The sequence below is a fragment of the Homo sapiens genome, chromosome 4 (genome assembly GCF_000001405.40).
Source record: "Homo sapiens chromosome 4, GRCh38.p14 Primary Assembly".
Lineage (NCBI taxonomy): Eukaryota > Metazoa > Chordata > Mammalia > Primates > Hominidae > Homo > Homo sapiens.
The window spans coordinates 1,208,996-1,231,073 of NC_000004.12; the positions used below are offsets into that span (position 1 = coordinate 1,208,996).

General features: G+C 59.4%; 1 protein-coding gene and 1 long non-coding RNA gene across 13 annotated transcripts in view, besides 2 other annotated features; one reads left to right on the forward strand and one right to left on the reverse strand.

Annotated features, from left to right (window-relative positions):
- Positions 1,125–9,596, forward strand: CTBP1-AS (CTBP1 antisense RNA). Its single transcript, NR_104331.1, has 6 exons — positions 1,125–1,563; positions 1,895–1,961; positions 3,039–3,544; positions 3,680–3,775; positions 6,551–6,695; positions 6,964–9,596. It is a non-coding gene; the product is annotated as a CTBP1 antisense RNA (long non-coding RNA).
- Positions 2,450–22,078, reverse strand: part of CTBP1 (C-terminal binding protein 1) — a 38,911-nt gene continuing 19,282 nt past the window's right edge. For 7 of the 12 annotated variants that reach the window (NM_001377189.1, NM_001377190.1, NM_001377186.1 and 4 more), the window contains 7 exons: positions 19,204–19,348; positions 16,365–16,571; positions 6,996–7,210; positions 5,348–5,478; positions 4,483–4,610; positions 3,918–4,035; positions 2,450–3,431 (listed from right to left, as the gene is read on the reverse strand). In NM_001377189.1, coding sequence (NP_001364118.1) covers positions 3,245–3,431; positions 3,918–4,035; positions 4,483–4,610; positions 5,348–5,478; positions 6,996–7,210; positions 16,365–16,571; positions 19,204–19,348 — 1,131 coding nt within the window. In that variant the 3' untranslated portion in view covers positions 2,450–3,244. The remainder of the gene's footprint in view (positions 3,432–3,917; positions 4,036–4,482; positions 4,611–5,347; positions 5,479–6,995; positions 7,211–16,364; positions 16,572–19,203; positions 19,349–22,078) is intronic. The other 5 variants (NM_001377192.1, NM_001377193.1, NM_001328.3 and 2 more) reach the window with 1 other exon arrangement.
- Positions 8,212–8,281: a silencer, noted in NCBI's record as "silent region_15123". NCBI's record gives its function as "represses an Ori minimal core promoter by ATAC-STARR-seq in GM12878 lymphoblastoid cells {active_cell/tissue: GM12878}" and the evidence as "EXISTENCE:reporter gene assay evidence [ECO:0000049][PMID:35858748]".
- Positions 9,630–10,219: an enhancer, noted in NCBI's record as "active region_21149". NCBI's record gives its function as "activates an Ori minimal core promoter by ATAC-STARR-seq in GM12878 lymphoblastoid cells {active_cell/tissue: GM12878}" and the evidence as "EXISTENCE:reporter gene assay evidence [ECO:0000049][PMID:35858748]".

Genomic DNA, 22,078 nt, shown 5'->3' on the forward strand with positions numbered 1-22,078 from the left:
TGAGTTTTATGAGCCCAAATTCATAGACCTTTGTTGCTGCATATAAACTTGAGGATAAACTTGTTGAATTTGTTCAACGTAAGCAGCTGAAATTCTGCGTGGGGTGGTGATGAACGGCTCTAGCACTCGGTAAAAGGTATTTAAAGCGCATGTAGTTTACAACACTAACAGCCCGCCGCCCGCGAGCACAGCCCGTCTGGTCATCCGGCGGCCTCACCGTTCACCACGGTTGGCGGCCCTGGTCACTCCCACGGTCTTTACCAGCCGGGTGCCAGTGGCTGGGACCAGGTTCTGACCACTGTGCCCACTCACTGTGGAATCGCGTGAGCAGGCCAGACCCTGCGTCGTAAGGACAGAGCAGGACACGTCCTGTCATGGGGCACCCGCTGTCTGCGACTTTGTTTCCGTTTGTTTCCGCCTCAGCTTGGGGGAGACAGTTGGCAGGCACCAGAGGCGCTCCTGTGAGGTCACCTGGCCAGTCTCAGGATTAGCTGCAGGCTTTGGCTGATTTTCTTGGGTCTTGTACACAGATGCTTGTCAGCAAATACCAGAGACTTATCTCTTCCCTTCCAACATGCAAACCTTCCTTCATGTTCTTGTCTTAAGCGTTTTGGCACAACCTCCAGCCTAATACCAGCCTCTAGGGAGATAAACAGTGCTGCCGATTTCACAGGCCAGGAAACCGAGGCTGAGGGCCCCCCACCCACCTCCTGCTACCCCGCACCCCTCCTGGGGCCTTGCTGGGCGGGGTGACTCCCCGGAGGCGGCACCAAGGGGAGGTTCGTTTCGAGGCTCAGAGCACTTTTCTGACAGCTTTCTGTCCCTTACATCCCAGACTCAGTTACACTTCAGCGTCCCGGCTCCCTGGCCGCCAGGCTCACACCACAGACAGCCCTTGGAGGCATTCCATTCCTGCCCCGACCCTTCAACTTGGAAACATGGAAACAATGAGGCCAGCTGAGTGGGAGCCTCCAGGCCTGTGTCCAGAGCTAGTTCCCAGTGTCTGGCTGCCTCTCAGGGCGGGGCCTGTCTCCAGCTGGAGCTGGGAGGGCGGCCCACCCTGCCAGAGGCCAGCCCCACCCTCGGCTGCCGTGGGGGCTGACCAGGGCCCAGTGACCCAGCCCAGGGCTTGCCTGTGGAGAGGCTGGAGTCAGCCGTCAGCGCGGAACTCCTGGTCTTCCCACTGCCACCTCTGCAGCCCCCACCAGAGATATCAGAAAACATCAGCTCCAGCCTGCAGCCCAGACACTTGAAGTCACCTTGGCTGCCCCTCCTCACACCCGTGCCCACGTCAGCAAAACCAGGGCCGGCTTGTTAACCGTGTCCAGAACCCACCCTTCCCACCCTGCCCAGGCCACCTCCCTCAGTGGCCCAGGGGGCTCCAAGTTGAAGAGCCCAAGACAGGTCAGAGATGGGCTGGGCGGCCTCTGCCACTCACCTCCGGAGAGGGCAGGGAGCAGAGGCCTCAGTCATGAGGTGGGGCTGTCCTCGGCGTGGGCCTCGAGACTGGGAGCCACTGCCCATACCCAAGAGACCTCTGCGAGCACTGGGGTGCAGAGCCAGGTAGGAGGGGGCACCCCACCAAAGGCAGCAGCCCCCCCCCGCTTCTTTCTGCTTTATATGGGGCAGGGAGCAAGGGGAGGTTGACACTTGGCGGATGACGCGGCAGGGTCTGGACACTTGGGGTGGCAGGATAACCCACCTGCATGCAGGGAAAGGCTTGGGATGGAAACATCCCGAGGGGACCCGGGTTCCCCAGCACCCGCTGCAGCCCCTCCTCGTACTACCTGGACCCGCTGCAGCCCCTCCTCGCACCGCCTGGACCCGCTGCAGCCCCTTCTCATAAATGAGTTGGGACTCTGCTGATTTGCATGGACCACGCTTCCAAAAGCAGCTCTGAGAAACCAGGAGGCTGGGATTTTGAAGAGGACGCCGGTAAACAGGCTCAGCTGTGGGCCAAGGTGAGGCATGACCCCTTTTGGCTTTTTTGCCCATTTCCGTAGGCTGGCTGACCCATGGTCTGGGGAGCTTCCTCAGCCCTGACATCTGCTTTCCTTCCTCCTGTGGCCCACAGTCTTCCCAGGTTGCAGGCCGGCCTGCAGGAGCTATGCCAAGAAGGGAGGGGTGGGCAGTGGGGCAGGACCTCAGCCAGTCACACCATCATCCACACAACGGCCCGGCTGGCACACTGCTTCCCTCCCACTGGGGCACTGCGGGCAGGCCGCCTCCAAGCCAGGACCCTACAGCGTCCCACAGACCCAGTGGGCAGAGGGACAGGCCCGGTACACACAGAGACCACTGCCCAACCTGCCACTGCACTGTCTCTGGGTCTCTCTTAGGCCGCCCACTTCAGAGAGGCTGAGCTGAGCCGTGGAGGTCACCAGAGCCAGGACTGAGGCTCACCCGTGTCCTCATGAGAGAAAGTCACCAGAATAGATGCTGGGCACGCTGGCTCTTTCCAGGATTTTTATTTCTTTAAAATAATTCATACAAATGGTTACAGTCACAAACATGATTTTAACCAAAATATTGCTAGCCTACCACATCAGCAGGACGGCACTGGTGCAGGCGGGGACGCTGCCACCCTCCACGTCCCCAGGACAGACGTCGATGGGCAGCGGGCACGCTGGGCACCGCCCAAGCTTTTCCTTTTGGAGCTGCTTCGTGATGCCGTCTTCATTTGGAACAAGGGGGGGTTCATGCCAAAATTAGGAAAAACAGCCTTTGTTTTGTTTTTCTAAATTATTCTAAAAATAAGACAAGCAGGTAGAAAAAACAATGCACTGTGTGGCATAAAAAGAAAAACGGGAAGGATTCATTGTCCTGAGAAGTTTGCCAACTGCCTCATTCTGGGGCACGTTCCAACATACAAAAAAAAAAAAAACAAAAAAAAAAACCTCAAATTGACTTCCAAATGCTCCTTCAGGTTTTCTTTTTGTTGACAGCTAAGCAAACAGATCCTTTGTAATGTTCTAAAAACTGTACACAGACAAGAACGTTCATGGGAGAATAACTACTGACTTCTTCTGCTTAACGAGGAACGCGAAGGACACAGGGCAGAGCGCCCACAGGACGGACGACGACAAGCGACACGAGGCCCAGCGCTGCCCCCTCCCGCCTCCTGACAGCCCGGACCAGTCTCTGCAGTGCCAGGGCCACCACACAGATGCCTCCTCCACACACTCTGGTCCGAGGGTTTCCGGGCCCTCTGCCCAGGCGCCGAGGCTGGAGAGCTCCTCCCGGGCTACAACTGGTCACTGGCGTGGTCTCTATCCGCCTCGGGCTTGACGGTTTGGCCAGGAGAAGGGGCGTGGGGCGGGTGGGCCACAGGGGGCAGGCCGTGGGACAGGGACATGGCGCTGGGGACGATACCTTCCACAGCAGCTGGGATGCCAGTGGGGGCCACGCCCACCACGCCCGGAGGGTACCTGCTGGGAGAGGGTCCATCCGTGAGGCCCACCTGTAGGCGGCCTGGCCAGGCCCCACCTGCCCTCCTAGCATCGGCAGCACCGAGGGGGCCTCTCCAGGAGGACCAGCAGTCAGGGTAAGGATCCCGGCCTTTACACGGATGTTCCTGCCTATGGCAGCTACTTCTCAGGGCTGGGGAGGGGAGCCCTGGTGTCTCCAGGTGACTTGAACATGAGGTCTTCGCCTCACCCAAAGCCCCCTCCTCCCACAGGCCCCGTGCCCATGGCACTCCTGTGTCCACTGAGCCCTGAAGGCCACCCCAGCCCAGGCTCCTTCCAAGAGGCCCTGGTTCTCATGGGCCTTTCAGGTGAGGTTGGCCTTACCAATTCTACCCAGATCCTCCAGGTCAGTCAGTGGAGACGCCGCCCCTCCCACCAGGGGCTGTGCTGGGATCCAGGGGAAGCCTGGGGCCCTCCTGGAGGCTGTTCTGGGCCAGCGGGCCTGCTCACCTATAGGCAGCCCCATTGAGCTCAGGGTGCACGACGGCGGGGTCCATGCTGGCCCAGTGGGTGGCGGCTGTCAGATGGTCCTTGTTGACACAGTTCTTCAGGCTGTCTGGGATCCGGCCTGGGAGATGCAGGAGGAAGGAACAGCTGTGGCTCTGAGGGGGCCCCAGGAGCGTGGCCCACTGGGTTGAAGACACGGGCAGCAGGATTCTTGGCAGTGTGCTCCTCCCTCTCAGCCCCGGGGCTCCCAAGGCACGGCAGGGTCCTGTCTCTCTGGGCACTGGCACCCTTGCAGCGTGGGGACCCCCAGCCCAGAGCACGTGCCCAGCTTGCTGAGGGACCTGTCTGCTCAGCCCAGCAACTTCCCAGCAGGTCCTGTGTGTAAGACACGACGCCAGGGCTCAACTTGACTTTGGCCTTAGAGGTCCCTGCTGGGGGTGCAGTGAGAGCACCACGGGCCCTGAGCTGGCAGAACATGGGCCTGGCTGCCAGGCGGATGCGAGCCCATGAGCATCTGGGGCTGGCAGGAAGGGACCCCCAGGCCTGACCGAGCGGCCCCCACGCCCACCTGTGATGGCTCTGCGGATCTCCCGTGCCGCCTCCTCTCGCATCTCGATGGATGCCTGCTCGCTGTACCATGCAGCATGGGGGGTGCAGATGAGGTTGGGTGCATCCTTCAGAGGGCCCTGGCTAAAGCTGGGAACAGCACAGGCATGGTCAGTGCAGCCTGAGTGCTGTGGCTGGGTACGGAGGGGAGGTGGCTGGGCACTGGAACCCCCTGTGGGGGGCCCTGCCTGGGAACCACAGACCCCACGGCCCTGCTCTGCTCGGCAGGCTGGCTGAGCTCAAGAGCACAGCCCCGGGACCATCAGACACACCAGGGGCTCCTGACAGCGGCGGGTGTGGGAGCCCAAGGGATTTAATCTCCAAGTCCCTCGTGGGAGGAGCCCTGATGGGGGGACATGCTGCCTGGCCCCTTCCAGCCAAAGGGTCTGTAGCCCCAGGAGCTGCAGGCTGATACTGCCCCTGTGGGGGTGTCTCCTCTTGCGGCTGAACATCCAACCCAGGGCTGCCTGGGGTCCCAAGGTGCTGTAGGGGCTGCAGGTCTGGACGGGATGCCATGACTCCATGGCCAGGGCCCATGGGGACCACTCACAGACACTGGGGCCTCACTCTCTCCTGGTTGGTCAGGAGCCCTGCCCAAAGAAGGGCTGAGGAGGTTGAGCAGCCCCTCACAGGACCGAGGCAAGGCAGGCCTAGAGCCCGTGGCTCCATCCTCACCCCGCAGCGGGCGGCAAACTCCCCCACTGCTGGCCAGCGAGAGGCCTGAGTACAGGCAAGTGTCCGGCCTGGCAGAGGCGCCGTCTGGAGGTCAAGGCCGGCAGGATGGTGGACAGGGAAGAGCAGGGGGGCGGCACTGGCCGTGGGGGCACCTGAAGGGTTCCGACTCGTGCACATCCAGGGCCGCGCCGCGGATCCGGCCCTCCTTCAGGGCCTGGGCCAGCGCCTTCTCATCCACCAGGCCACCCCGGGCTGTGTTCACCAGGAAGGCCCCTTGTCTCATCTAGAAGACATAAGGACAGGCCAGGCCCAGTCAGGGATCCGCACAGGGCGGGCAGCCAGGGAAGCAAGGTGGTCACGCACGCCGTTGGGAAGGCCCAGCTCCCTAGCCCCTTCCCAGCCCCACCCTGGGCTCACCACGGCGCTAGGACTGAAGGCCTCGGGCGTGCTGCACCGCGGCCCTGACAGGCTGGCTGAGGATCTGCCCTGTATGGACCTGCACGGCCCCACAGCTCCTAGAGAGCTCCACCCTCCTGCCCAAGCCCTGAGCTGAGGACTGGGCGGGGGCTCCTGGCTTGGTCCCCCTGTGGTACCCCTTTTCTGGGTCCCCTCCAGCCCAGCCTCCCCCACGCAGGGCCTCAGCCCACGAGGTGGGACTCCCTGGGACGGCAAAGCCCAGGGCCGTCTGTTCTGAGGCGTGGTCTTTGACTCCAACCCCAGCGGGGCCTGCAGCAGAGCCTCCGTCTTCGGAACAGGCTCGCTTTTCATGCACTTTTGCAAAAAGCCCTGCGGGTGGCTCTCCCTCGGCTTCGTGGCCAGGGCTTTCCTGCAGCCCCCCCATTTCATTCCAAGAAGTCCACCCAGCCACGGTGCTTGGCTGACAGCTGGGCAGGTCACGGTGGCTTTTCTTTGGTGCACTGCTGCCCATTAAAGCCTCACACCCAAGGTCCTCAGGGACGGCAGGGCTCTGACCAGCATCCACGTGCCACACCCTGTCCCCTAGAAGGCTCCAAACCCACTGACTCTGTGAACAAAGGAAGGGGCAGCGGGAACCTGGCCTCATCCTCCTTGTGGCTACAGGCTGCTGGGGCAGCTAGAGTGGGCGGGTGGCCTCTGACACGTGTGTACACACATGCACATACATACAAGCTCATACAAACATGCAGACACATGCACCCACGCACACTTGCCCACACACATACACATCACTGTGCACACACGATGACTCCCTGAAGGGCCTGGAGCCAGCGGGAGGCAGCCATCCCCAGCTCCACCCACTCAAGGGGAACGCAGGGCTGAGGCTGCACTGCGAGCTGTGCTGAGGCAGAGGCCGACCTGAGCACAGCCCGTTCCAGCTGCAGATGTCAGAGGCCGACCTGAGCACAGCCCTTTCCAGCTGCAGATGTCAGAGGCCGACCTGAGCACAGCCCGTTCCAGCTGCAGATGTGAAACCTGAACCTGGCAGCACGGAAGTCACAAGGGCCGACCCAACGCCCCCAGGTAGCTGCATCTGTCCCCACTGTGACAACAGCAAGGGCTTCAGGGGAATTTGGTGTTCAAAGGTATGAGGTTCTGTCTTGTCCAGAGAGTATTTTAGATGTCCTGAGTAGAACTCAGAACACAGAAAACGCTGTCTGGGCAGACAGGGCTTCCCCCAGCAGGGCTGGCAGCCGCCGCCATGTGGCTCGCTGAAGGCAGGGTCTTGCCCAGGTGCAGATGGCTGCTGGGAGGGACCTGCCTGACACCCCCACCTGTACCTGCCCCGCAGAAGTAGAGTCCTGTGTCCCCGGCTCCACGCACCTGCTTGACGGTGAAGTCGTTGATGAGGTGGTGGTTGTGCTCGTTGAGGCCGCAGTGCAGGGTCACGCAGTCGCTGTGGAAGAGCAGGTCCTGCAGGGTGCTGACACGCTGCAGCCCCAGCGCCCGCTCCACGCCATCCGACAAGTAAGGGTCGTAGAAGAGCACGTTGAAGCCGAAGGCCTTGGCCCGCAGCGCCACTGCCTGCCCCACGCGACCTGGTGGCGTCAAGACACAGTGTGAGACCCTTGCTCACCCGTGGCCGGGAGGCCGGCCCCGAAAGCCAGGGTCGGAGTGGCCTCTGTGCCTCAGTTTGACCATCTGCCAAGGATGACACCAGCTGTGGTCAAGCCAAGGTGCCCACGCACGCTCCACACGAGCGCTCCACGTCCGCTCCAACGCGCCCACTGCCAAGGCGGAGGAGATGCACAGGGGTGGAAAGGGTACACTAGCCCCTCGGCCCACACCAGCTGCCAGCCACACCACTCCCCTGCAGCCTGTCCACAGGACGTGACATGAACCACTCAGTGTCAAACGGACTGGTCAGTGGGTCTCCACCCACCCAACACATGTCCTCCGTGCCCAGGCCCCTCCGCTGGCCTTTCGATCCACCCATCAATGTTTCCGGCATCTCAATTCCAGCCACCACTACGTGGAGACGGCAAAGGGGGCAGGAGGGAAACTTCCAGACCAGGGAGGCCCCGCTGGGCTCAGGTCCTGACCCCTTCGAGTGGAGCGGCAGAGAAAGCCATCCCAGGCAGACGTGCCTGCCCCCACCCCAGCAGTCCAAGGCTGGCACGGGTCCCAGCACAGGAGCCGTGGAGCTTGAGCCACCGTGTCTGGCTGGGGCCGGCTCCTCCTCGGGGAAGGGTCTGCAGAGTGCTCGTGCCCACTGTGAGCCAACAGCATGGCTGCAAAGGACACAGGACCCCAAGCCCGCGAACGTGGTGTCTCCTGCATTGCCTCAGAGGGAACCGCTACACAGGAAGGAAGCAGGTTGAGCGCCGGGGCGGGTGGGAAGTGGGCGCAGTTTCAAAGGCGGCAGCCAGGGCAGGCCTCCCTGAGAAGACCAAGCTTGCTGGAGACATAAGGGGACAGGAAGGGAGCCAGAGAGCTGGAACAACACGTGCGAGGGGCCCGCGGCGGCCTGAGGGCCAAGGAGACCAGACCGCCAGGCACACAGGGTGGCCGGACGTGGCCCAAACGCCCAGGGGACCCCCAGTCACTCTGGGAAGAGGACTGGGGGAGGCTGGGAGGCCAGTCAGAAGAGCTGAGGACCGTCTAAACGCACTACATCCTAGAAAGGGAGGCGCCTGTTCTACGAGAAGGAACATGGTGGCTCCTTCCATCCCCAGGGACGAGGCTGCTGCAGGAGGGAGGAGGGCTCGGCAGGCGGAGGTGGGAGCAGCAGTTCTGAGGGTTGCAGCCACGGCCGGAGTACCCGGGCAGCTCCCCAGGTGCAGAACAGCCCGTCTGTCAACGCCCCCTGCCAGGGATCCCACCAAATGGGGAGGAAGAGAACACAGGCAGACACAGAGAAAGGCGTCTCCCACAGCGCAGAAGGCGGACGACACGCTGTTTCCCACTGCGCACAACACAAAGCCCCGGAAGTCGGGCTGCCGGTGGCGAAAACCAGCTAAAGCCGCGGGCCGGCGCCGGCCACGCCTGACACGGGAGAGCAGCGGCTGTTCGGGGCGAGACCATTCTTCACTTCTGTCTCTGCCATTCTCTTCCACATGATGTCTGGCTTAGGATAAGAAATTATGATGATGCAGGTGAAGAGACAGGAGGATGTAGTTTCTAATTAGAACAAAACACTGGAAGCGGACAGACGCACAGATGACCGAGGCTGGAATCAGCCAGCAAAACCTCTTAATAACTACTATAAACATGCTCAGAGATGACAACAAGTGTGGATGTAAACAGCAGAAAAATGGAGGCTTCCGGAAGATGAATGGTAACTCTATAAAGAACCACATAGAAATTCCAGAACGAAAACATCCCTCTGAAACGGAACTCCCTGGACAAAGCTAACTGCAAGAAAAGGATCGGGAGCTTGAAGGGAGGGGCTCAAAGTCAGCAGATGGCATCCAAACAGAAGCAGAGAGAAAAGAATTTAAAAAATAAATTTTAAAGAACAGGCCTTGGTGGCTGACGCCTGTAATCCCAGCACTCTGGGAGGCTGAGGTGGGCGGATCACAAGGTCAGGAGTTCGAGACCAGCCTGGCCAACATGGTGAAACCCCGTCTCTACTAAAAATACAAAAATTAGCCGGACGTGGTGGCGGGCGCCTGTAGTCCAAGCTACTCGGGAGGCTGAGGCAGGAGAATGGCGTGAACCTGGGAAGCAGAGGCTGCAGTGAGCCGAGATCGCGCCACTGCACTCCAGACTGGGCGACAGAGCGAGACTACCTTCCACAAAAAAAAAAAAGGCAACACATTTTCGGACAAAGAAAAGCAAAAGGAATCGGTCACTGGTGAGCCACATTTCTAAGACAGTCTTTAGGCTACAGGAACGTGACGCCCGAGGACAGCCAGAATCGGGGGGCGTAAACAAGGCAGAAAGGGTGGATGTGTCGGTTGATATTCAAAAGAAAAATTACTGAAAAATTCCTTGACAGACTCATGACTAATAGCTTCTTGTACGGTTTTCTGCATAATAGACGTGGAAAATCGGCCCGAGGGTGAGAGGAGCCACCGCGGGCCTCTGGCCGCCCTGGACGAGTCTTCACAGGTTATGCTGGGTGGCAGTGAGTTATGAAGGCGTATCCTAATCTCTAAAGTAAAACTAAACACGATCACTAAGCAGAGTATAGGTTAAAAAGCAACAACAGATGCAAGGAATCATTTAACACCTGATTAATATAAAAGAAGGCCAGAAAGGAAAAACAAGGATGAACAGAAAACACGTAGCCAGATGACACCGAAATCCAAATCATCAGCAATTACACTAAAAATAAATGAACTGAACACTCAAGAGGCAAAGACTGTCAGACTGAAAAAAGAAAGAGGAACTAACTCTATACTATTAATAACAGACACACTTTAAACATAAAAGACAGAAGTCAGGCGCCGTGGCTCACACCCGTAATCCCAGCACTTTGGGAGGCCAAGGCAGGGTGACCACTTGAGCCCAGGAGTTCTAGACCATCCTGAGCAACACAGCAAGACTTTGTCTCTACCAAAAAATAATAATAATAATAATAACAATTAATTTAAAAAAATTGCAGTGGCACGCACCTATAGTCCTAACTACTTCGGAGGCTAAGGCAAGAGGATCTCTTGAGCCCCAGTGCTCAAGGCTGCAGTGAGCCGTGACCGCACCACCACACTCCAGCCCGAGTGACAGAGCAAGACCTTGTCTCTGAATGAATGAATATAAGAACAGAGATAAGCTAAAATTAAAAGGATGAAAAAAGACATACCACACAAACACTGATCAAAAGAGCTGGGATGGCTGCCTCAACATCAGACCAATTAATTAGACCACAAAAAGACCAACAGGAAACGTCCTACTTAATGGTGAAATGTCAGAAACTTTTTCTCCCACATCAACACGGTAACACCCACACTCACTGCTGCTGATGATTGTAGCTAATGCAAAAAGGCAAAAATAAAGAAATTAAAGAAATAAAAGGTACAGAGATCAGAAAGGAAAATGTAAATCTGTGTTTATCTGCAGATGACACAGCAGTGTGTGCAAGAGAAAATTCAAGAGAATCTGTTTTTGGCAGAGGCAGGTCTCATTACGCCATCCAGGCTGGTTTCTAACTCCTGGTGATCCTCCGGCCTCGGCCTCATAACGCACTAGGATAACAGGCACAAGCCACTGCACCCGGCCTAACATGGAGAATTTAGAACGCTGTGGGATATGAGGTTGGTTTACAAAACTCAAGTGTATTTCTACCTACTAATAACCAACTGTCAAGAAACAATTAGGCCGGGCACAGTGGCTCATGCCTGTAATCCCAACACTTCGGGAGGCCAAGATGGGTGGATCACTTGAAGTCAGGAGTTCGAGCCTGGCCAACATGGCAAAAACTTGTCTCTACTAAAAATACAAAAATTAGCCAGGCATGGTGGCGTGTGCCTGTAATCCCAGCTACTCAGGAGGCTGAGGCAGGAGAATTGCTTGAACCCAGGAAGTGGAGGTTGCAGTGAGCCGAGATCATGCCACTGTACTCCAGCCTGGCAAGAGAGTGTGACTCTGTCTCAAAAAAAAAAAAAAAAAGGGGCAGAGATTGCAGTGTGCCGAAATCACGCCACTGTACTCCAGCCTGGGCGACAGAGCAAGACTGTCTCCAAAAAAAAAAAAAGAAAAAAAGAATTAAACATTTATAACAGCATTACAAATGCCAAATGCCTAACAATAAACTTAATGAACTACGTGGAAACCTTCTACTGATAACGACGAAACACCGTTAAGAAAAGTTAAAATAAATGGAGAGATCATATTTATGTCCCGAAGGTTCAATATTATTAGGAAGTCAGCATTCCCAAAACTGATTTTAAGGACTCAACAAAATGAAAATTGATGAGCTGATTCCAGAATGGAAATGGAAATGCACAGCAGGACCTAAAACAGCCAAGACCCTCGTCAAGAACATGGTGGAGGATCTCAAGGCTCACAGCCGTGCAGACAGCGTCACATGGGAGGAAAGGGAAGAAAAACAGGTCCACGGAACAGAAGAGTCCAGACGGACCCACTCACATGTGGCCAACTGCCTTTCCACAGAGGAGCCAAGCCAACCGGAAGGAGGGCTCCTCGGCGCATCGTGCCGCAGCGACCTGCCATCCCGGGAAAGGGTGGGCCACCACCCCAGCCTCACACCACGTGTGAGTGGCAGCCCAGGAGACCCTGGACCTAGAGGTAGAAGCTTCCAGAAGAAAACACAGAGAACCTGTTACCCGGATGACCCTGGGGTAAACAGATTCCTCAGGACACAAAAGGTATTCACCTAAAAAACGGGTGATACGCTGGGCTTCATAAAAACTGAAAACGTGTTCTCGTCACAGAGAGAGGTCAAGAAAGTGAAAAGTCAAGCCACGGCCTGAGATATTCGTAAACAAGAAAAAACAAAAATTTTGAAATTATGAAAATATCCACAATGCATGTCGATCTGACAAGAACCTGACGCAGACCACGTGAGGGCTTCGTAACCAACACGAAAAAGACGGCCGGAGGTGCTCCGAGTGGCCAAGGGCACAAAGAGGTGCTCAGCCTCCTCACTTATCAGGAAACTATAGGTTAAAATTAAAATATCACAAAATACCTGCTGGAAGGGCTAGAATTACACAGAGTGCTGGCAAGGATACGCGGCTGCCGGAGCATGACGCCGCGCCCCTGCCTGAAGAACAGCGACTCCTTCCAGGCGAAACAATGTCCTGCTCTGGGACTCAGAAATTCCACTCCTAGGTACAAACCCAAGAGACGTGAGTCTATGTGCACAAAAAAGACGGGCAGAAATGTGTTCACACAAGTTTTGTTTGTAATATTAGCCAAAAACTTACAAAATGCATCACCAAGAGTCTGGAGAAGCAAATCGTGCTGTGTTCACGTGATGGAACCGTTATCAGAAACTGCTGGGTCGTATGAAAACACAGGTGAGACCCAGAGGCATCACCCCGACTGACGGGAGGCGGACACAGAAGGCTGCGTGCCCGTGATCCCACCTCGGCACAGCTGGGGAAGGCCCTCTGCTCTAGGAAGCGGGACCCGGGTCCTCGCAGGGTCGTCGCGGGGCCGCCACGGGAGAAGGGGGCCCGAGGGAGCTGTCTGTGTGCAGGAGCCTGCTCTGTCAACGTGCTGGTGGGTTCATGGGGTGAATGTGTACAATGTTTTCCTGTGTGCACCTAAGACAGTGCATTTTTCAGAAGGAAGGAAGGAAGGGAAGGAGGGAGGAAAGAAAGAAACAAGAAGGAGATGTAAGTCACGGGCACCAGAGCCTCGTAGAGCAGAGGAAGCGGCCGCCCCCTAGTCTGCGCCGAGTGGCACCAACACCGTGAGCCACACGCTGCCCAGGGCTTCCACATTCCTGTAGCCACCACACACGCGGATTCCACGCTAAGAACAACCCAGACAGTGTGTGCACAGCAGAGGGCAGATGGGGACATGCACACCCTGGGAGAGCCTGAGTGGCTGGTGCCCAGCACCGGCCCCGCCTGGAGCATGAGGCTCTTCCACAGAGGGTGGGATGGGGCTCAGGGACAAGGGCGAGGGGCGGGGCGGGGGACGGGACGCAGGTGTTCTGCAGTCAAGGGTGCCAGGTGGGCAGCCGGGGTGGGGTAGGGGTCCCGTCCACAAGGTAGAGGCTGCAGCGTCAGGGGGCTCGTGTCCCTAAGGACAGAACTGCTCTCCTCAGCTCCCGAGGCCGAGGGAGCGCTGACCTGGCCTGGTTCATCACAAGATCACCACAGACAGAGGGGCCCGCGCCGAGAGCGAGGGAAGCAGCTGCCCCCCAGCAGCTCCAGGGGGGCCTGCCCGAGAGCCCACAGGACGACCTGGGCCAGTGCAGGGCAGAACGCCCATGGTAAACCCCCACAACCTGCCAGGTCCACCCTGCACTCCTCAGGACGCCGGGGTCCCCGCACCTGCAGTCCCCACCCACACTCCTCAGGCCAGGCCTGGGCGGGGGCCCTGGCAGGTGGGGTCCTTAACGAACGGGGTGGCCACAGCCCTACCCTCTGAGGGCATCCCGACCTGGGTGTTCCAACCCCCACTCAGCACGGGGCCCTGGGAGGGGCTGGTTGGGCCCAGCTCCACAATCAGCCTGGGAAGGCGCCGCCCTCAGGCCTCAGAGTGGCCACGGGAAGAGCCCGGGGCCTTCAGGGCCGGGACCACAGACCCCGACCCCAGGAGAGACAGGACACATGACTCTGGGGGCAACACACCCACCTACTCTTACCAGGGGAACTACAGACATCCCTGGCCACACAGACACAGCCCATACCCCCCCCACATCCCACAGTCCCTCGTACACCTCAGGTGAGGTGTCAGACCTGTGGCTGCAGGACAGGCGGTGACCTGCAGGCAAGGCACACATGAGGCGCCTCCTGTCCTGTGGGCTTGCTCTGGAGACAGCGGAGGCACCGCCCCCTGGACAAGGCCAGCAGGCAGTCCACGAATCTGAAGGTCCACAGAGCCCCGAGTCCCCGGCCCCTCCCGACCTCTGCCCCAACCTGGGCTTCCTGCCCACCCTCCCTCCTCCCCTCAACAAACCACACATGCGGGCCATGGCCCTGACATAGGAGGGGCCGCCCAGGCCTCAGATGGGCAGAGGTGTGAGGAACAGGCACCTCAGGGCTCTGGGATCCTCACAGGCTCCAGCCAGCCCTGGGGTCCTGGTGGGGGCACCAGCAAGACCGTGAGAGACGTGTCCAGGAAGAGACAGGCACGTGTTCCATGCACATCCGTGAACCAACCTCTCCCACTAACCTAGGTGTGGCCGCCTCACCGAGACCACCCGAAACGTCCGATTCCCCAAACGCTGGCGGGACAAGGACAGCGGTCAGCAGGAGTGGGCTGCCTGGATGTTTGGGAAGCGGGGGGCCGGCCGGTCAAGGGGAGTCCCTGGCATGGCAAGGCCCTTGCATCCCCATGGGGCCTCCTGAGGAACCCGCGATCTGGGGAGACAGGCAGCTGGGCCAAGGTGTCCAGGGAGTCTTCAGAAAAGGTACACCACCCCCGCCCACCCTCTCAGGGAGCACCTTCCCACCCCACACCTGGGCCCCGCCCAGATGCTCCCCCTCCCTCACGGGGCCCCTCACCTGGCCTCTCCCAGCTCTACTTTCCCTTAAGACATGGCTCTACTCCCAGGATCTCACACACGCACACACACACGTGCACAAACATGCACACGCTTGCCGCTCTGAGCTCAACCTGGGCCTGGCTGTGTGGGGCCGGTTCACCGCTGCATGCCGGACCCAGGACAGTGCTGGGCCCAGGATAGGCGGCTGCAAAGCGAGTGGGCAAATGAAGAGCGAGGGGTCGCTGAAAGGCAAACCACTCCCCGGGGATAGGGCCAGCGCCAGGGGCAGCTGCTGGTGACCACGGAGGAAGCCCACGGCTGCCCGAACCCCGGCCCCAGCAGGATCTACACAGCCAGCTCCAGGGGACTCAAGGGGCGAGCACATGCTAGACCGTGGTTGATGTGCGTGCCCACACATATGCCGGTATCTATCTGCGTACGTGCCCATGACTGACATCAATGTGTGTCCATGTGAGGTCATGTGTATGGTGTGATATCCATGTGTGGTGCCCATGTGTGCCATGTGATACCCGTGTGTGTGTGCTGTGACATCTGTATGTCCCCGTGCGGCCCATGTGTGTGCTGCGATGTCCATGTGTGATGTCTGTGTGGGGTCCACGTGTGTGCTGTGATGTCCGTGTGATGTCTATGCAGGCCTGTGTGAGACCCATGTGTGCTGTGTGAGGCTGTGTGTACTGTGACATCTGTGTGTTATCTGTGCGTGCCCATGAGGCCTGTGTGTGCTGTGATGTCCGTGTGTGATGTCTGTGAGGCCCACGTGTGCTGTGGCGTGTGACATCCGTGCAGGCCCGTGAGGCCCACGTGTGTGCTGTGACATCCGTGTGTGATGTCTGTGTGTGCCACGATGTCTTGTGTGAGGCCTGTATGTGTGCTGTGGTGTTGTGTGTGACATCTGTGCAGGCCCTGTGTGCTGTGACGTCCGTGCAGGCCAGTGTGAGACCCATGGGTGTGTTGTGATATCTGTGTGAGGCTGTGTGCTGTGACATCTGTGTTATCTGTGTGTGCCCGTGAGGTCCACGTCTGTGCTGTGATGTCCATGTGTGATTTCTGTGTGCGCCCGTGAGGTCATGTATACTGTGATGTCTGTGAGGCCCACATGTGTGCTGTGGCATCTATGACATCCGTGCAGGCCAGTATGTGTACTGTGACATCGGTGTGTGATGTCTGTGTGTGCCATGATGTCTGTGTGAGGCCCACATGTGTGCTCTGATTTCTGTGTGAGGCTGTGTACTGTGACATCCGTGTGTTATCTATGTGCCCATGAAGCCCATGTGAGTGCTGTGACGTCCGTGTGTGTTATCTGCATGTGCCCATGAGACCCACGTGCTGTGATGTCTGTGTGAGGCTGTGTGTGCTGTGGCATCCGTGTACGTTATCTGTGTGTGCCTGTGTGAGACCCACGTGTGCTGTGACGTCCGTGCACGTAGGGCACACGCCTGGGACTCCCGGGCCCTGGTGCCTGTGCGCACTCAGTCCTGTCCTGGGTTGGGACCGACACCTGCAGCAGCCCCACCCCGCCCCGGGCCTCTCCTCCTGGGCACAGCTGAAGAGCGGCAGCGCCAGACACAGGGAGGGACACAGGCGTGGAGCTGCGGCCGACGCACCAAGTCCGATGATGCCCAAGGTCTCCCCGCGGATCCTGGCAGCGCCGGACGCCACCTCGCGGATCTGCTCGACGCTCTGGACTCGTGTGCCCTCCCGCAGCGCCTGGTGCAGCCAGGTGGCCCGCCGGTACAGGTTCAGGATGTGGCACAGCGTCGAGTCGGCCGTCTCCTCCACAGACGCCGCGGGCACGTTGCAGACGGCAATGCCTGTGGGGACAAGGACACGGCGGTCACCCCCGGGCCGGGCCCAGCCTCCGGGAGGACACCGGGGCCGCCGTGACTGGAGCGGGTTTGAAGCTTCCCAAGGAAGAAGCCAAAGGCCGTGTCCCCAAGGCCACCCCGGGAGGCCACGAGATGAACACGTTGCTCACAGGTCGGGCGCAACAGAGCAACTCCAGGAGCCCCACCTCCACTTTAGGTTCACGTGGCAGCACACACACGGCAACTGCTCGGTGTGTGGTAGGGCTGGGGTGTGAGACGCTGCCCTGACCCCTCCCGACTCAGCGCTGGCAGCCCAGGAAGAGACAAGCACGTGTCTCCCCGCGTCACCTCGCCACCCCGATTCCTCTCGGGGGTACCCTGCTGGGAGGCTGTGGCCAGGTCAGAATCTGGGTGCCGGCCCCGCCTGCACACCCCTACGTGGACATCCGCACATGTCCTCAGGCCTCCCCCAGGCCCAGCCGGGCCCCGAAGCCCCTTCCGCCCTCCATGCCCCACCCCTGCAGTCGGTAACACTGAAGCTGGAGCCATTCCTGGAAAGCAAGTCCATCCCATTTCTCCCGAGTGGCCAGGCACGCCCATGTGTGACCCCTACTCCCCGCTCCCGGCCTTGTCCCCAGAGACAGGCCCTTCCCCAGCCAGTGCCCCTCCCTGAGCCTATTTACCCTCATCCCTGGCTTGTCCCTGGCCAGGGCCGCCCCTGCACGGCACTTCCCACCCCATCCGGATGATTGCATTCCTGTGTCCGACTGGCCATCCGTCTCCCTGGGGAGGAGGAGGGGGCAGGAGGCCAGGACAGGGCTGCATTCATAGGCCCGGAAGCTGGACAGGACCGTGTGGTTCCGCAAGGGGTCCCGGGGGCCGGGAGAGGGCCTGATGTGGGGCGGCGCAGGCAGGGGCTGCATAGCCCCTAGACACAACTCACTTGGACGTAAAAATGTTAAACAAGGGAGACTGAGGGAGAGCCAAGCCAGGCGCCACACGAGATTGGAACAAAGACCTCCTGAGGGTGGGCCAGATCCCAGGGGTGCCCCAGACCATCCCTGGCTGAAGAACAGAGCCCAGGCCTGGGAAACTCCACGGGTAACAGAGATGGTAAACAGCAGGGACCCCTCAAAAAGCACCAGGCATGCACCCGACACCACACACCCAGGCCTGCACCCGACACCGCAGCCGGCCCTTCCTGGGACGCCACCACAGAGACAAAGGCGGGAGGAGGCTGGCACACAGGTTTGGCCCATGGGCGCCGGCGGAAGCAGCTGAAGCCAGTGCAGGAGACCCCCAGATGGAGGCATGGCTTCCGACACCACCTGCGTCCCCCGCAGGAACACAGACGGTTCCAACTTTGCAATGCCATAAACTGTATCCTAGGAAAAGGGAAGCAAAACCGTGAGGCGCTGGCCAACTGTGGGCAAGGGCAGGGTACAACCTCGCCTGTTACCAGCATCGAGAGGAGGAGAAAAAACAGACCGAGCCTGGCAGAAAACAGAAAGTGCGCTCCAAGCAGGACGGCCAAGCACCGCCCCAAGTTTGTTCTAATGAGTGTCTGTACATGGATGCAGACACATGTGCATGTTCCATGTGCGTGTAGGTGCACGGGTGCAGACGTGCGTGTTCCATGAGTGTTCCATATGCTGAGTGCACAAGCAGAGGTGCATGTGTTCTGTGTGATGAGCATGTGATCCATGTGCTGAGTGCGTGTGCACAGGTGCAGATGAGTGTGCGTGATCCGTGTGCTGAGTGCATGTGCACGGGTGCAGATGAGTGTGTGTGTTCCATGTGCTGAGTGCACATGCACGGCTGCAGATGTGCGTGTTCTGTGTGTGTTCTGTGTGCTGAGTGTGCGTGATCCGTGTGCTGAGTGCGTGTGCACGGGTGCAGATGAGTGTGCAGGATCCGTGTGCTGAGTGCATGTGCACGGGTGCAGATGAGTGTGCGTGTTCCATGTGCTGAGTGCACATGCATGGCTGCAGATGTGCGTGTTCTGTGTGCTGAGTGTGCGTGATCCGTGTGCTGAGTGCATGTGCACGGGTGCAGATGAGTGTGCAAGATCCGTGTGCTAACTGCATGTGCATGGGTGCAGATGAGTGTGCGTGTTCCATGTGCTGAGTGCACATGCACGGATGCAGATGTGCGTGTTCCGTGTGTGTTCTGTGTGCTGAGTGTGCGTGATCCATGTGCTGAGTGCACAGGTGCAGACGTGTGTGTTCTGTGTGCTGAGTGCACACGTACTGGGTTGCAACACGCTGCTGTTCCCGCTGTGTCTCGGGACAGAGACCTATGAGCCCTATTACAGCCATACACTGACGGCCCTGCCCTCACCCCCAGGGTCCCAGTACCCAAGCAAGGGGCACCAGCCAGACATGCATGCAGACCTGTGTGAAGCCACAGCTGGATTTCCTGCTGCCCAAAAGAGAGGAAGTGCCCTGAGATGAGGCTCTGTGAGGAACTGAATGGCTGCAACCTCATGCCGGCCCCAGACGGGACCACGAACCACCGCCAGCCACACCAGGCAATGTGCAACGGGGTCCTCAGTGTGGCAGTGAAGCCTCCATGGACGAAGCAAGACGGGACGGAGCTTGCATGAATGGGCACAGGAGAGAACTCGGAGCCGGCCTACCTAAATCCCCGGCCGACTTGATGTCGATGTTGTCAAAACCACTGCCAATCCGGACGATGATGCGGAGGGCTTTGAACTTCTCCAGGTCCTCCCTGGTGAGAGTGATGGTGTGGTACATCAGGGCCCCCACAGCCTCGTTCAGGACCTGCAGCGAGAAAGCACACAGGCTCAGCCCGGAACCTGAAGACCCTCGGGCTTGGCCTTCGGGGGTGGGGCTGCCCCGGCTGGGAAATTAGCCTGTGGCCCTCAGGCTTGTTCCCCAAGCACCAGCCCGGACACTGGGAGAGGCTACATGAAGGCTTCCCCGCCACGCGCGGCCCCTCAACCTCTGCCCAGGCGTCCTGAGTCCCAGCAATTCCCACCGCAGCCTCCTCAGCCGCATGTAGGCTGCAGGCCGGCACTGGTCAGAGTTGCCCGCTCCCCACTGTGGTGGCTGAGATGTCTCCTTTTGAGCGTGCGCCCCACCGAGACTCTGCTCAGCCTTGTGGAAGAAACGGGGTCCCGCCTGGCGAGGACACAGGAGGGGGGGTGCGGCCACACCCAGGAAGGACACTGAGCAGGTGCAGCTGGGTGGGGTGGCCAGGGAACCTGAGACCTGCAGGCCCGGGGATGCAGGTAGAAAGTGGTAAGTCCCCGCGGCACACAAGCACGTCGGCGGAGGCAGGCAGACGCCACCCAGCCGTAAGGATACATCCACAGGAGCATGCACTGCCCCCGTGTCGCCCAAGAACCTGCCCAGAAATGCTGCCCCTGGCTGGCGAGGCTTGGGTCTGAGCAGTGTTCACAACAGTCACGTTTTTAATTTCAGTGTCCATGACAACTCTTAGACCGGAACAGCTCCCGCGAACAAAGACCTGGCACACAGCACAGCAGCCCAACCCTGGCGCCTCCACTCAGCCAGTACATGGCATCGCTGTGGTCACGGCCAACCCCACCCTGCCAAGGGCTCCCAGTTACCCCCAGCCCAGGGAGGGCAGGGGCAGTGTGGGGTGCAGAGGCACACAGGTGGAGGAAGTGCCCTAGGCCGAAGAACCAGGTGCAGCACTGGGCACAGGGTGGGGATGTGTGTGCACCACCTGCGCATCCACCCACACCCAAACACATCCACCCGCACACGTCCATCCCACACTCCCGTGCATGACAACGCCCACCCACGGGTGCAGAGATGCTCTGTGCGAACAGCCGTGGCTGAGGACACCAGGACATGCAGGCCTCGTCCACATGGGCATGTCCGAGTCCCCGGAGACACCAGTGAGCCTCCCATGTGGACATGACTCCCACCCACCACCTGTCCAGCGGGGCCCCAGGTACTCCTGACGGATCAATGGCGCAGGCTCAGCACAGAGGTTGCCGGGGCCTAGGTGGCGTCTTTCCCTCCCTTCCTGCCGAGCATGGAGCCTGTGGATCCCGGGCGGCAGTGCCTGGGTTGCTGGACCGCAGGGCGTCCTGTGGGAGCTGACCCTGCCTGGGTCCTGGGCAGAGCAGCTGGTGTTGGGCAGGCATACGTGGGCAGGGTGAGGGCAGCCCCCAGGAAGACGCTCACCACCCAGCTGCAACCCCTTCTCCTACAGTGCCCGGACCTCCAGCTTAGCCAGAACAGATGATTCCCTTTGAGGCTGGCACAGCCTCCCTTCCCTCCTGCCCACCGCAGGGGACCTAGAGGAGAGGACCATGGAGGACCACACAGACCAGGGCCACAGCAGAGGCTGGGCAGCAGGGGAGGGGAGCCCTGGGCTAGCCTGGGCATTCTCCAGGAAGAAGGGAAGGTTGGAGCACCTCGGCTGCAGGAGGCAGGGAGGCATCTACCCGGACCACAGAGGAACAGGTGTGTGTAACACTCATCAGTTCATGGACAGGGCTGATGGCTGCCCCGGGCCTCCTGGGAGGGCTTTGAGGCTGCATGCATGCAGACCCCTGGTGCACCAGACGCAGTGTGGACGGGGTGACCCCTGGTGCACCAGATGCAGTGTGGACGGGGTGAACCCTGGTGTACCACACTTGACCAGACGTAGTGTGGACGGGGTGAGGCCACAAGGACAGCATGGGCAGGCAGAGGCCAGCAGTGGGCGACTGGTGCACAGCTGTGGTGGAGGCGAGCGGTGCGGCCAGGAAGACCCCTGCGCTGCGTGGACTGGAGATGGGCGCCCACACACCAAGGAGGTGCTTCGGGCAGCCTGGCAAAGCAGCCGCAGCTAAGAGAGAGTCACCTGCAGATGAAGCTTCGTCGGCACCCACTGTGGGCAGGAGGGGCTGCGCATGCGAGCGGTGGGCAGAGGCGCAGTGGGAGATGGGCCCTGGGGTCAGGGACAGGCCTGGTGCCAGACGTGAGCCCGGGGGGCTGGCCTGGGCAGCTGGATGTGCAGGGGCCACTTCCACAGTGTGTGTGCAGAGGCTCGGCATGGACAGGCTGGACAGACCCACACCACACAGGCTTGTGTGTACGCAGGCAACAGCCTGCTTTCACCCGGAGCACTGGCCACGGGCCTCGAAAAGTCGATTCTGAACCGCGGCACGTCACCTCCCGCACATTCGGAGGAGACAGCGATCAGATTCACGTGAATATGACGAATATTCATCCGCGCAGCCTTAAGGTTGCTTCCTGCATCGGCTCTTCCGTGATGAAAATCTATCTCATCTAGGTAAGCTCGGAGAAGCCGAAGCGTGCGCCGGCCAAGGGCCCTCCTTTGGGCTCCGGGCGCGCCCACCCAGCTGAGCTGTGAAGCGCAAGCTGCCTCCCCGACGAGGCTTTCATCACTTGCCTGTGCACGATTCTTAATACACTTTTTTCAGGTCCTTGCCCTTTTCCCTACTGAATACAGGTTTAACAACATAGTATTAGGTGAAAGCATTCTCACTACAGGAATCTGAACATGGC